This window comes from Homo sapiens, chromosome 2 (genome assembly GCF_000001405.40).
Source record: "Homo sapiens chromosome 2, GRCh38.p14 Primary Assembly".
Taxonomy (NCBI): Eukaryota; Metazoa; Chordata; class Mammalia; order Primates; family Hominidae; genus Homo; species Homo sapiens.
In genome coordinates, this window is record NC_000002.12 from 62,507,119 (window position 1) to 62,522,554 (window position 15,436).

Sequence of the window (15,436 nt, forward strand, 5' to 3'; positions counted from 1 at the left end):
CACTAAACCCACTCCTCACTCATAACTGACCTTTCCTGAATTCTAACAGCAAAGGAGAGTTTTGCCTTTTTTTTTTTAAATCAGAACATTTATTGTGTGACTAATCTAAAATTTTTTTTTTTTTTTTTTTTTTTAGACAGAATCTTGCTCTGTCACCCAGGCTGGAGTGCAATGGCACAATCTCGGCTCACTGCAACCTCCGCCTCCTGGGTTCAAGTGATTCTCCTGCCTCAGCCTACCGAGTGGCTGGGATTACAGGTGCCCGCCACCACACTCGGCTAATTATTGTATTTTTAGTAGAGACAGGGTTTCGCCATGTTGGCCAGGCTGGTCTCGAACTCCTGACCTCAAGTGATCCACCCGCCTTGGCCTCCCAAAGTGCTGGGATTACAGGTGTGAGCCACCGTACCTGGCCTGAAATTCTTAAGATGAACTGGATGCTGCAGCAGCTGTCCTCTTGGGTTTAGGTGGCATTCCTTTAAAAAATCCATGCCTTAACCTGCTGTACACAATTTTTAAGTGCCTCATTCGACCAGTCCCACTGGTATATTTTTTAGCCTCGGCACTCCAATTATACTTTATCTTGGCTTGGGAGGGTAGCCGCGTTTGCCACAGGCGGACTTTTGAAGGAGTTAGAGTCACAGGGCAGCACTAGCTGTGCATCTTATCGCACCACTTTCTAGATGATGACACTCCCTTTGTCATCTTGCTTCTGTTTTGCATATTTATATAAAAGCAATCATACTGTAAGTACTTTTTTAAAAAACTGGCTTTGTCTTCAACATTACTTTCATGAAATTCCTTCATGTCATTGAGTGTAGATTCTTTTGCCTTGCTCTTTGTGATCATACCACAATAAGCTTACTCATTCTACTGTTGATGAGTGTCTGTATTTTCTAGTTTGGAGCTGTTGTGTATAGTGCTGCTTTGGGGAAAAGATGCCTCTTGGTGAACATATGCATGCATTTTTGTTGAGTGTATATCGAGAGTGGAATTGCCGTGTCATAGGATACGAAAGACCCAGCTTTAGTAGAGGCTGCCTACAGTTTTCCAAAGTGATCAAACCAATTTCTGCTGCCTCCAGCAATGTGTGAATATTTCCATTACTCCATATACTTCACCAACACTTGTTATTTCTTATCCTTTCCTTTTAGCCCTTCTGATGGGTGTGTGGTAAAAGTATTATTTTTACAATCAAAAGGAAAATTACACATTTATATAAATGCAAGAAGAAGATATGGGTGGAAATAAGTTCATGACTAGAATTTTAAAATAATTACACAAACGTTTATTGCATTCCTACTGCTTATTTGGATATCGTGCTAGGCTAATTAGGGATATGGTCCCTCCTCATCAAGAAGCACAGCTCAGTGAAAGAGAGACATGGAAACAAGTAAGTGCAAACACTGTTATTAGACGTGCTCTATTAAAGGACCACGTCTTTTAATTATTAAAGAAGCAATTAATTCGGGTTGAGGATGTCAGGGAAAAGCTGGTTAACTTCTGCTTCATTTCAAGATGGAGTTCAGACCTGAGAATCTCCAAAAAGGCTTCTAGGACCTTCCTGAAATAGCTTAGGTGCTCTCTTCTGTGTTTCCCAAAGCATCTTCCTCTTGTTTCTTTGGTCACAGTGCTGGTCACTCTATACTAAAATTGTCTGTTTATGTGTCTGTGTCTCTTGCTAGTCCTCAAGCTCTTAGAGGTCAAGAATGGACTTTCATCTTTATATCCCCAACACTAGCACAGTGTGGTACCTGGCCATGAGTAGGAGCTGGATGACTGTTGAGTGAGTAAAAGGAAGAAAAAGCCTAATGACCACTCTCTTGTCTTCCCCTTCTAGTTCAAGGACTTAGCTAGCCCTTTAAAAGGTTCACTTTGTAAAATGGTGAATTGGTGTATTAAAACATAGTGAATCATAACAATTTAAAAAACCTTAGCAACAGAGAATCACTTTTCATTTATCAAATGAACCGAGATTTTTTATAAACGGAACAGTGAAGCAGGAGGCCTCAGGCTCAGCTGTTGAATTATAATTTGGCCAACCGCATTGAGACAAGTAATCGGCAATGTATAGAAATAGCCTTTAAAACGTTCCTGCCTCCTTTAACACGATAAAATCTTAAGGCGTGCTCTATTAAAGGAAAATAATCATAGAAACAAAGTTTTATACACCAAATGCTTCTCCAACATTATTGATAATTGTTTAGAAAAGAGGGGAATGGGCATTTGAAGTGCCCAACCACAGGGCCTCATTAAGCAGATTACGATATTTATGGCAAGGTGTTGGGCTGCAGTAGAAAGAATGTCCTTGGAAGCTGAGAGGGCAGGGTTCAAATACCCTAAAATTCTCGATGTACCACTTAACAGCTGTGTGACTGATTTCAGATACTCGTTTTGTAAAGTAAAAATAATGATATCTTACTGTTGTGGTTGATGTGATATTATATCATTAAGGCTCTCTATACATGATAGCTACCATTTACACATCAATTAAAATGAAGTTTATGAAGAAACAACACCTAGAGTGGAGTCAAATAATGCTGGTATTTAATTTTGTAAATTCAACTGGACCTGCTAGGTAATACCTCTGTTGCTTTCCTAATAAAGACAGTGGAGGCAGTTAAGCATTAAAGCACTCCATTATGTTAACCAAAAACCTATGTGAATTCTTATCAAAAACCTAAGTGAATTATTTTAAAGATATTTTCCCCTGGCATTGAAAAAAGATGCAAGATACCTTCTTCAGATTGTAATTATGTTATCAAAATCCTGGAGGAAAAAAAGTGATAGAATTATGGGTATTTTTCCTTCTAATTTTATTATTCAAATTTCCTATATGAGCGTACATTTTCTAGTTAGAAAAAAATCTTGTTAAAAATAAATTGAGAGGAAGAGGCAATGATGATGCAAAAACATTAGAGAAGATAATTTGAGAGGAAAAAAAATGTGGTTTGGAATGAGTCCTGCCATTATTGATGTATCATAAATGGTCCAAGGGGCTCAAAAAAACTTTCCAAATGTTATCTTATTAGTTGATACTCCCAATATTTATAGGCAATTACATTAGAAATACTAAAGGAGATCCTTCAGTGTTTCACTAATGTGATTGCCTATACAGGTGGGCATCCACATTCATGAAAAATGAAGAATTGTATGATTTGGGTTTCCCATCTTCTAGACCTACTACTTACTTAGGATCTAAAGAAAGAAGTATGGGCCAGGCACGGTGGCTCACACCTGTAATCCCAACACTTTGGGAGGCCAAGGCGGGCTGATCACAAGGTCAGGAGTCCGAAACTAACCTGCCCAATATGGTGAAACCCCGTGTATACTAAAAATACAAAAATTAGCTGGGTGTGGTGGCGGGCCCCTGCAGTCCCAGCTACTCGGGAGGCTGAGGCAGGAGAATTGCTTGAACCTGGGAGACAGAGGTTGCAGTGAGCTGAGATCGTGCCACTGTACTCCAGCCTGGGCGACAGAGTGAGACTCCGTCTCAAGAAAAAAAAAAAGAAGTACGGAATCTCTGTACTTAAAATCACGGGAATCATTTTAGGTTAATGAATAGTCCCATAAAGTTTAAACTGCTTAGTTCTTATACCAGTGTTGATGTTCAGAGTAATAGCTGTTTCTGCAATAGTTGTTTAATGTATTTCTTGGGGTTTAATTACATTTATTGTTTGCTTATTTGTTTTCACAAACATTTTGAGACTGATGCAATGATTAGCTTCCCTTTGATAAGGGACCATGTTGTCTGGTAATAATGTATTACCTTATATGACAAGAAACTGATTTGGGGAGTTATTTATTTATTGAGATAGGGTCTCACTCTGCTGCCCAGGCTGGAGTGTAGTGATGCAGTCATAGCTCACTGTAGCCTCAATCTCCTGGGCTCAAGTGATCCATCCACTTCAGTCTCTCTAATAGCTGGGACTACCGGGGTATACCACTGCACCCAGCTAACTTTTTTTTATTTTGTAGTGACAAGGTCTCCCTATGTTGCCTAGGCTGGTCTCCAACTCCTGGGCTCAAATGATCCTCCCACTTTGGCCTCCCAAAGTGCCAGGATTACAGGCATGAGCCACCACACCTGACCTCAGTTATTTAAATTACTCCTTGGCATAAAAAAAAATTCTTTCCACTTGATACTAATAAAGAGTTTAGAAATATTTTTAAGTAAGTATGTCATTCAGTTTATTGCTTTAAAATGAACTGAGAGACATTTCTCAGAATCTAGATAAATTTAAAAGATAAATTATATATTTGGGTATAATATATAATTATGATGATGATATGATTCCACATCGGCATCCACATTAAAAAAATCTTACTCTAAATTACCTGAAATGTAATCTTAGAATCCTCAAATTGTTAATGGATAAGCAAAGATTTTTTGATACAAGTCCCTGGTACAATATATTCTATTCACAGCACTTCTCAAAGGTTTATAAGAAAGAATCAGGCTGTGAATTATACAGAAAGCAAAATCTCATGAAAGGAATTTTTATACTATATTAAGTGATATTTCAAGGCTGACTTTAATATTTTGTCTTCAGAGACATCTCCATTGAGAATTTTTATTAGAAAATTCTTTCCCCTTTAAAATACTGTTTATATAATAGTTTTTTGGTTCGGTGGCATTTCTTTGTGTTGGTCTACCACACTGCTCACCTGCTATATGAAGCAGCTGCTCCATGCGTCAACCATGTGGGAGATGGGAACGTCAAGCCGAGGGAAGAAAATCAGTAAAGCAAAAACCCGCTTAAGGAAACCTCAGATCTGTCAAGTGAATTATGATACTGATTAGAAGCAGGTGGTCATTTTACGGAATAAGTAACATGTTCCATTTTTAGTAGTGATGTCTTACTAAACTAAAAATATTTTATATATTACACTGTGTAAAGTATAAATTATGTTCCCCTTTCTGGAAGAAAATTGACCTGTTATTGACTGTAATAAAATATTGCTTTCCCCACAGTAAATATTGATACGTTGTTCACTGTTCCCTCTGCCTTACTTTAAATTGTGGTTCTGTGCTTTTAACAAATAATATGCTTTGTTTTCAACAGTATACTTTGCATTGCTTAGCTATGTTCAATTTTGATCCTCAATCACATCAAGATTGTAAGAGTAGAAATGTTATAAATAGACAAGTTAGTACTAAAATGAAAGGTGTACACACAGATAAAGAGTTCAAATACATTTGAATTATTTATTATACTTAGGTAGCTGAATAATAAAATTCTCCAAATTTTCTTGAAGGTGTTTGCTTTGCAAAATAGAAAATCATTGCCATTATTCTTGTATCCCATTTCCTTTCCCACTGCATTTTTAGTTACTACAGAATTGTTCTTATTTTTTTTTCCAACACATGGTGTGAAGATTAATAGACGTTCAAGGTGATTGGAGACAAGTGTAATAAGATGTCAACAGGGATGTTCTCTGATCCCTGACTAAGGTTCAAAGCTGTGCACAGAACGGGGTAAGTTCACATATTCTAAGTTGAGAAACCACCTATAGTTAGGCCAGCCTACTAAGAAATGTTGATACAGGGAAACAGTCGTACCACAAACGTTTCCCAAACTACCCCATTTGTACTCATGGAAGTCTAAAGAAAGGGTGGGTAGAGAGGAGGTTAGCCTTTTGTGAAGTACAATGTTCATAAGGATAATCTCTTCCCTTCCTTCACCCCATTCTCACTGTTAAGGGAGAAGATGGAAGCACTTTTTCCCCTCAAAGTCTAGCAAGGAGCCCTCAGGAAAATTACCTATAACATTTAGAAATGCCCAACCATGCCCCCTCTACAAGGTGGGAGATTGGTGATCATCTCATCTCTGACCTCTTCTGGACCAGCTGACTGCTCTGTGCTTGCAGAGCAAGGAGAGGGGACAGAGAGAGACAGCCTAGCTAAGAGAGGAGGCACCACAATAGCCCATATTCCTACCTCCAAGAGATGCTGCTAGCTGGACCCCTCACGGGAGAGGTCAAGTAGGTGCAAGGTATATATCTCAAGGAACTGGACAGTGGAGAGGACCCCCAATGACCTTTGCCAATGAGGGAGCCAGTACTTGGATTCTCTCCAGTATAGAAGACATTGAAAGTCTGACAGGACTAACTAAAGAAGCAGCAACATCCTACAGAGAAGAAATTGCAACCTTTCTAGGAAGCCGTATGAAATATCTACTTCCCTATTCTTGCCCTAATATCAGAAGGGAAGCAACCGAAAGAAAGAGAGGGAAGGATATAAAGAGCAGAGCATCTGCCACTCCACCTTCACACACACATGCACTCCAAGCCACTAGCAGTAGACGTTGACTTTTGGACAAGTCTGGAGGTAAAGGAGGAAAAGGAAGGGAGGAAAAAACAGTTTTAAATCCTATTTGAAGCTTAACTTGAACAAAACGGAGCTTTACATGCTGGAATGAGATGATCCTAATAACTTGAAGAGGTTAATAAATGGAATCAAGCCAGGGTGTGATTAAAAGAGTTGACACCCAGAAAAAAAAAATGAGGGTGGCATATAGTGGGTGGATTTTTTTTTTTTTTTTTGAGATGGAGTCTCGCTCTGTTGCCCAGGCTGGAGTGCAGTGGCGCGATCTCGGCTCACTGCAAGCTCTGCCTCCCGGGTTCATGCTCTCCTGCTTCAACCTCCGGAGTAGCTGGGACTACAGGTGCCCGCCACCACGCCCGGCTAATTTTTTTGTATTTTCAGTAGAGACAGGGTTTCACCGTGTTAGCTAGGATGGTCTCGATCTCCTGACCTCATGATCCGCCCGCCTCGGCCTCCCAAAGTGCTGGGACTACAGGCGTGAGCCACCGCACCCGACCCATGGTGGGTGGGTTTTAAGAAAATAAAGCTACTTCATATTTATGCCCCCAATGAATTGAGAATTCTCAAGAAAATAGTTACATAATCCATCAGAGTTCTGATTTTTAGAGGGGGATGGCATGATCAATTCTGAATAACAGACAGATGAGATGGATATCAATTCAAGCAAGGAAATAGAATGGTTTTATTTTTTAAGAAAACATTTTTTTCTTTTAATTGAAGTAAGACATGCACACAAAAAAGTGCACAGATCAGAACTGTAGAGGTCCATGAATTTTGCTGAAGCAAACCCACCTGTGTAACCAGCAACCAGATCAGGAAATAGAACACTACCAACGCCTCCAAACCCCCTGCTTATGTTGCCTCTTAGTCATCAGCCCTCTCAACACTCCCAAAGTCATACTATCTTGATTTCTATACCTGTAGATTAATTTTGCCTGATTTTATTTTTCTGTAAATGAAGTCCTACATTATTTGCCTTTCGTGTTTGCTTCTTTCACTCAACATTACATTTGTGAGATTCATCCATGCTGTTATGTGTTGCAGTAGCCTGTTTGTTCCATTGCAGCACAATATTCTGTTTGAATATACCATGAATTTTATTTATACAAATGGTAATGGAAAAAAAATCGTATCCAGTTTGGGCTACTGCAGAGAGTGCTATTGGACTTGCTTGCTTATATTTTACTTATGACTGTCAGGTTACATTCATGAGAGAGATTGACCTGTAATTTTTCTTCCTTGTGATATTCTTGCCAGCTTTGGGCATCAGGGTTGTACTGATCTCATAAAATTGTTGGAAATGATCCCTTTTTTTCTGTTCTCTGGAAGAGTTTGTGGTAAGGTTGATGTTTTTCTTTGTAATGTGTCTGGAAGAATTCACCAGAGAAGCCATCGGTGCCTGGAGCTTTCTTTGTGGGAAGGTTATGAATTTAATTTTTGTTTATAGGTATATAGCTCTTCAGATTTTTTTTACCTTTTTTTCTCCCAATCTGATAAGTTGTACGTTTCTAAGAATTCATCCATTTCGGCCGGGTGTGGTGGCTCACGCCTGTAATCCCAGCATCTTGGGAGGCCAAGGTGGGCGGATCAATTGAGGTCAGGAGTATCAGACCAGCCTGGCCAATATGGTGAAACCCCGTTTCTACTAAAATACAAAAATTAGCTGGGTGTGGTGGCAGGTGCCTGTAGTCCCAGCTACTCAGGAGGCTGAGGCAGGAGAATTGCTTGAATCTGGGAGGTGGAGGTTGTAGTAAGCTGAGATTGTGCCATTGCACTCCAGCCTGGGTGACAGAGTGAGACCCTATCTCAAAAAAAAAAAAAAAATTATTCATTTCACTGGCATGCAGTTGCTTGTAATTTCTTATTGTTATATTCTTAATGCTGATAGGATCTATATTGAGGGCTCCCCTTTCCTTCCTGAAATTGGTTATTTGTACCTTCTCTCTCTCTCTCTTTTTTTTTTTTTCCCTTGGTCAGTGTTGACAGAAGTTTCTTAATTGTATTAGTTTTTTCAAAAAACCAATATTAGGCTTCTTGGTTTTCTCTATTGTATATTTGCTTTCCATTTCATTAATTTCTTTTTTTTAAATTATACTTTAAGTTCTAGGGTACATGTGCACAATATGTAGGTTTGTTACATATGTATACATGTGCCATGTTGGTGTGCTGCACCCATTAACTTGTCATTTACATTAGGTATATCTCCTGATGCTATCCCTCCCCCGTGCTGCCACCCCATGACAGGCCCCGGTGTGTGATGTTCCCCACCCTGTGTCCAAGTGTTCTCATTGTTCAATTCCCACCTATGAGTGAGAACATGCGGTGTTTGGTTTTCTGTCCTTGCAATAGTTTGCTGAGAATGATGGTTTCCAGCTTCATCCATGTCCCAGAAAGGACATGAACTCATCCTTTTTTATGGCTGCATAGTATTCCATGGTGTATATGTGCCACATTTTCTTAATCCAGTCTATCATTGTTGGACATTTGGGTTGGTTCCAAGTCTTTGCTATTGTGAATAATGCCACAATAAACATACGTGTGCGTGTGTCTTTATAGCAGCATGATTTTTAATCCTTTCGGTATATACCCAGTAATGGGATGGCTGGGTCAAATGGTATTTATTGTTCTAGATCCTTGAGGAATCACCACACTGTCTTCCACAATGGTTGAACTAGTTTACAGTCCCACCAACAGTGTAAAAGTGTTCCTGTTTCTCCACATCCTCTCCAGCACCTGTTGTTTCCTGACTTTTTAATGATTGCCATTCTAACTGGTGTGAGATGGTATCTCATTGTGGTTTTGATTTTCATTTCTCTGATGGCCAGTGATAATGAGCATTTTTTCATGTGTCTGTTGGCTGCATAAATGTCTTCTTTTGAGAAGTGTCTGTTCATATCCTTCGCCCACTTTTTGATGGGGTTGTTTGATTTTTTTCTTGTAAATTTGTTTAAGTTCTTTGTAGATTCTGGATATTAGTCCTTTGTCAGATGGGTAGATTGAAAAGTTTTCTCCCATTATGTAGGTTGCCTGTTCACTCTGATGGTAGTTTCATTTGCTGTGCAGAAGCTCTTTAGTTTAATTAGATCCCATTTGTCAATTTTGGCTTTGTTGCCATTGCTTTTGGTGTTTTAGTCATGAAGTCCTTGCACATGCCTATGTCCTGAATGGTATGGCTTAGGTTTTCTTCTAGGGTTTTTATGGTTTTAGGTCTAACATTTAAGTCTTTAATCCATCTTGAATTAATTTTTGTATAAAGTGTAAGGAAGGGATCCAGTTTGAGCTTTCTACATGTAGCTAGTCAGTTTTCCCAGCACCATTTATTAAATAGGGAATCCTTTCCCCAGTTCTTGTTTTTCTCAGGTTTGTCAAAGATCAGATGGTTGTAGATGTGTGACATTATTTCTGAGGGCTCTGTTCTGTTCCATTGGTCTGTATCTCTGTTTTGGTACCAGTACCATGCTGTTTTGGTTACTGTAGCCTTGTAGTATAGTTTGAAGTCAGGTAGCATGATGCCTCCATCTTTGTTCTTTTGGCTTAGGGTTGTCTTGGCAATGCCGGCTCTTTTTTGGTTCCATATGAACTTTAAAGTAGTTTTTTCCAATTCTGTGAAGAAAGTCATTGGTAGCTTGATGGGGATGGCATTGAATCTATAAATTACCTTGGGCAGTATGGCCATTTTCACGATATTCATTCTTCCTATCCATGAGCATGGAATGTTCTTCCATTTGTTTGTGCCCTCTTTTATTTCACTGAGCAGTGGTTTCTAGTTCTCCTTGAAGAGGTCCTTCACATCCTTTGTAAGTTGGATTCCTAGGTATTTTATTCTCTTTGAAGCAATTGTGAATGGGAGTTCACTCATGATTTGGCTCTCTGTTTGTCTGTTATTGGCGTATAGGAATGCTTGTGATTTTTGCACATTGATTTTGTATCCTGAGATTTTGCTGAAGTTGCTTATGAGCTTAAGGAGATTTTGGGCTGAGACGATGGGATTTTCTAAATATACAATCATGTCATCTGCAAACAGGGACAACTTGACTTCCTCTTTTCCTAATTGAATACACTTTCTTTCTTTCTCCTGCCTGATTGCCCTGGCCAGAACTTCCAACACTATGTTGAATAGGAGTGGTGAGAGAGGGCATCCCTGTCTTGTGCCAGTTTTCAAAGGGAATGCTTCCAGTTTTTGCCCATTTAGTATGATATTAGCTGTGGGTTTGTCATAAATAGCTCTTATAATTTTGAGATACGTCCTATCAATACCTAGTTTATTTAGTGTTTTTAACATGAAGTGCTGTTGAATTTTGTCGAAGGCCTTTTCTGCATCTTTTGAGATAATCATGTGGTTTTTGTCTTTGGTTCTGTTTATATGATGGATTACATTTATTGATTTGCATATGTTGAACCATCCTTGCATCCCAGGGATGAAGCCCACTTGATCATGGTGGATAAGCTTTTTGATGTGCTGCTGGATTTGGTTTGCCAGTATTTTATTGAGGATTTTTGCATCAATGTTCATCAGGGATATTGGTCTAAAATTCTCTTTTTTTGTTGTGTCTCTGCCAGGCTTTGGTATCAGGATGATACTGGTCTCATAAAATGAGTTAGGAGAGATTCCCTCTTTTTCTATTTATTGGAAGTTTCAGAAGGAACGGTACCAGCTCCTCTTTGTACCTCCGGTAGAATTTGGCTGTGAATCCATCTGGTCCTGGACTTTTTTTGGTTGGTAGGCTCTGAATTATTGCCTCAATTTCAGAGCCTGTTATTAGTCTATTCAGGGATTCAACTTCTTCCTGGTTTAGTCTTGGGATGGTGTACGTGTCCAGGAATTCATCCATTTCTTCTAGATTTTCTGGTTTATTTGTGTAGAGGTGTTTATAGTATTCTCTGATGGTAGTTTGTATTTCTGTGGCATCAGTAGTGATATCCCCTTTATCATTTTTTATTGCGTCTATTTGATTCTTCTCTCTTTTCTTCTTTATTGGTCTTGCTAGCAGTCTATCAATTTTGTTGATCTTTTCAAAAAACCAGCTCCTGGATTTACTGATTTTTTGAAGGGTTTTTTGCGTCTCTATCTCCTTCAGTTCTGCTCTGATGTTTGTTATTTCTTGCCTTCTGCTAGCTTTTGAATGTGTTTGCTCTTGCTTCTCTAGTTCTTTTAATTGTGATGTTAGGGTGTCAATTTTCGATCTTTCCTGCTTTCTCTTGTGGGCATTCAGTGCTATAAATTTCCCTCTACACACTGCTTTGAATGTGTCCCAGAGATTCTGGTATGTTGTGTCTTTGTTCTCATCGGTTTCATAGAACATCTTTATTTCTGCCTTCATTTCGTTATGTACCCAGTAGTCATTCAGGAGCAGGTTGTTCCAGTTTCCATGTAGTTGAGCGGTTTTGAGTGAGTTTCTTAATCCTGAGTTCTAGTTTGATTGCACTGTGGTCTGAGAGACAGTTTGTTATAATTTCTGTTCTTTTGTATTTGCTGAGTAGTGCTTTACTTCCCACTATGTGGTCAGTTTTGGAATAAGTGCAATTGGTGCTGAGAAGAATGTATATTCTGTTGATTTGGGATGGAGAGTTCTGTAGATGTCTGTTAGGTTCACTTGGTGTAGAGCTGTGTTCAGGTCCTGGATATCCTTGTTAATTTTCTGTCTTGTTGATCTGTCTAATGTTGACAGTGGGGTGTTGAAGTCTCCCATTATTATTGGATGGGAGTCTCAGTCTCTTTGTAGGCCTCTAAGGACTTGTTTTATGAATCTGGGTGCTCCTGTATTGGGTGCATATATATTTAGGATAGTTAGCTCTTCTTGTTGAATTGATCCCTTTACCATTATGTAATGGCCTTCTTTGACTCTTTTGATTGTTGTTGGTTTAAAGTCTGTTTTATCAGAGACTAGGATTGCAACCCCTGCTTTTTTTTGTTTTCCATTTGCTTGGTAGATCTTCCTCCATCCGTTTATTTTGAGCCTATGTGTATGTCTGAAAGTGAGATGGGTCTCCTGAATACAGCACACTGATGAGTCTTGACTCTTTATCCAATTTGCCAGTCTGTGTCTTTTAATTGGAGCATTTAGCCCATTTACATTTAAGGTTAATATTGTTATGTGTGAATTTGATCCTGTCATTATGATGTTAGCTGGTTATTTTGCTTGTTAGTTGATGCAGTTTCTTCCTAGCATCGATGGTCTTTACAATTTGGCATGTTGTTGCAGTGGCTGGTACCAGTTGTTCCTTTCCATGCTTAGTGCTTCCTTCAGGAGCTCTTGTAAGGCAGGCCTGGTGGTGACAAAATCTCTCAGCATTTGTTTGTCTGTAAAGTATTTTATTTCTCCTTCACTTATGAAGCTTAGTTTGGCTGGATATGAAATTCTGGGTTGAACATTCTTTTCTTTAAGGATGTTGAATATTGGCCCCCACTCTCTTCTGGCTTGTAGAGTTTGTGCTGAGAGATCAGCTGTTAGTCTGATGGGCTTCCCTTTGTGGGTAACCTGACCTTTCTCTCTGGCTGCCCTTAACATTTTTTCCTTCATTTCAACTTTGGTGAATCTGATAATTATGTGTCTTGGAGTTGCTCTTCTCGAGGAGTATCTTTATGGCATTCTCTGTATTTCCTGAATTTGAATGTTGGCCTGCCTTGCTAGATTGGGGAAGTTCTCCTGGATAATATCCTGCAGAGTGTTTTCCAACTTGGTTCCATTCTCCCCGTCACTTTCAGGTACACCAATCAGACGTAGATTTGGTCTTTTCACATAGTCCCATATTTCTTGAAGGCTTTGTTTGTTTCTTTTTATTCTTTTTTCTCTAAACTTCTCTTGTCTCTGTATTTCATTCATTTGATCTTCAATCAGTGATACCCTTTCTTCCACTTGATCAAATCGGCTACTGAAGCTTGTGCATTCGTCACATAGTTCTTGTGTCATGGTTTTCAGCTCCATCAGGTCATTTAAGGTCTTCTCTAGGCTGTTTATTCTAGTTAGTCATTCGTCTAATCTTTTTTAAGGTTTTTAGCTTCTTTGTGATGGATTGGAACATCCTCCTTCAGCTCGGAGAAGTTTGTTATTACTGATCGTCTGAAGCCTTCTTCTCTCAACTCGTCAAAGTTATTCGCCATCCAGCTTTGTTCCATTGCTGGTGAGGAGCTGCATTCCTTTGGAGGAGAAGAGGTGCTCTGGTTTTTAGAATTTTCAGCTTTTCTGCTCTGGTTTCTCCCCATCTTTGTGGTTTTATCTACCTTTGGTCTTTGATGATGGTGATGTACAGATGGGGTTTTGGTGTGGATGTCCTTTCTGTTTGTTAGTTTTCCTCCTAACAGTCAGGACCCTCAGCTGCGGGTGTGTTGGAGTTTGCTGGAGGTCCACTCCAGACCCTGTTTGCCTGGGTATCACCAGTGGAGGCTGCAGAACAGCAAATATTGCAGAATGGCAAATGTTGCTGCCTGATCCTTCCTCTGGAAGCTTCGTCTCAGAGGGGCACCCAGCTATATGAGGTGTCAGTCAGCCCCTACTGGGAGGTGTCTGCCAGTTCGGCTACTTGGGGGTCAGGGACCCACTTGAGGAGGCAGTCTGTCTGTTCTAAGATTTCAAACTCCATGCTGGGAGAACCACTACTCTCTTCAAAGCCGTCAGACAGCGACGTTTAAGTCTGCAGAAGTTTCTGCTGCCTTTTGTTCAGCTATGCCCTGCCCCCAGAGGTGGAGTCTGCAGAGGCAGGCAGGCCTCCTTGAGCTGTGGTGGGCTCCACCCAGTTTGAGCTTCCTGGCTGCTTTGTTTACCTACTCAAGCCTCAGCTATGGCGGACGCCCCTCCCCCGCCTCACTGCCACCTTTGGTTGGATTTCAGACTGCTGTGCTAGCAGTGAGTGAGGCTCCGTGGGCATTGGACCCTCGCAGCCAAGCGTGGGATATAATCTCCTGGTGTGCCATTTGCTAAGACCGTTGGAAAAGCGCAGTATTAGGGTGGGAGTGACCCGATTTTCCAGGTACTGTCTGTCACAGCTTCCCTTCGCTAGGAAAGGGAATTCCGCGACCCCTTGTGCTTCCCGGGTGAGGCGATGCCCTGCCCTGCTTCAGCTCACACTCCGTGGGCTATACCCATTGTCCAATAAGCCCCAGTGAGATGAACCTGGTACCTCAGTTGGAAATGCAGAAATCACCATCTTCTGCATTGCCCACTCTGGGAGCTATAGACTGGAGCTGTTCCTATTCAGCCATCTCGGAACATCTATTTTCTTTTCTAATCTTTATTATTTCCTTATTCTTACCTTCTGTGGGTTTAATTTTCTGTCCCCCCCCACCTTTGGATATGACTTTTTATATTTTATTTTATTTTATTTTTGAGACGGGGTCTCACTTTGTCACCTGGGCTGGAGTGCAGTTGCTCAGTCTCAGCTAACCACAACCTTGATCTCCCAGGTTCAAGTGATCCTCCTGCCTCAGCCCCCCAAGTAGCTGGGGCTACAGCCATGTGCTTCCATGCTTGCCTAATTTTTCTATTTCTTGTAAAGACAGTGTTTCACCATGTTGGCCAGGCTAATCTCAAACTCCTGAGCTCAAGCGATCTGCCTGCTTTGGCCTCCCGAAGTGCTGGGATTACAGGAGTGAGCCACCGTGCCTGGCTGGATATGGCTTTTTAGGTAGATATTATGAATCATTAGTTTTTAGATTTTCTTTTTTAAATACATGCATTAAAGATTATAAATTTTCCTTTAAGTTTGGCTTGTTCTTACACTCCATACATTTTAATATGCAGTATTTTCATTATCATTTTGTTTAAAATATGTTTCAATTTCTATTGAGATATCTTCTTTGACTCACAGATTATTTGGAAATGTATTGTTTTTATTTCCAAACACTAGGAAATTTCTAGTTATCTTTTTTGTAATTGATTTCTAACTTAACTCCATTATGGTTGGATAACATACTCTGCATTATTTCAATCCTTTGATATTTGTTGAAACTTTTTGTTGGCCCAGCATTTGATCAATTTTGATAAATGTCCAGGTACACTTGAAAAGAATGTGTTTTCTTCATTTTTTGGGTGTAATTTCTATGTAAATTCAATGGGCCATGCATGTTATGTTGTTCAAATCTTCTACGGCCTGATTTTTTTTTGTCTACTT

At 39.9% G+C, this 15,436-nt stretch overlaps 1 pseudogene; it reads right to left on the minus strand.

Annotated features, from left to right (window-relative positions):
• On the minus strand, nt 424-705 carry RPL37P13 (ribosomal protein L37 pseudogene 13; annotated as a pseudogene).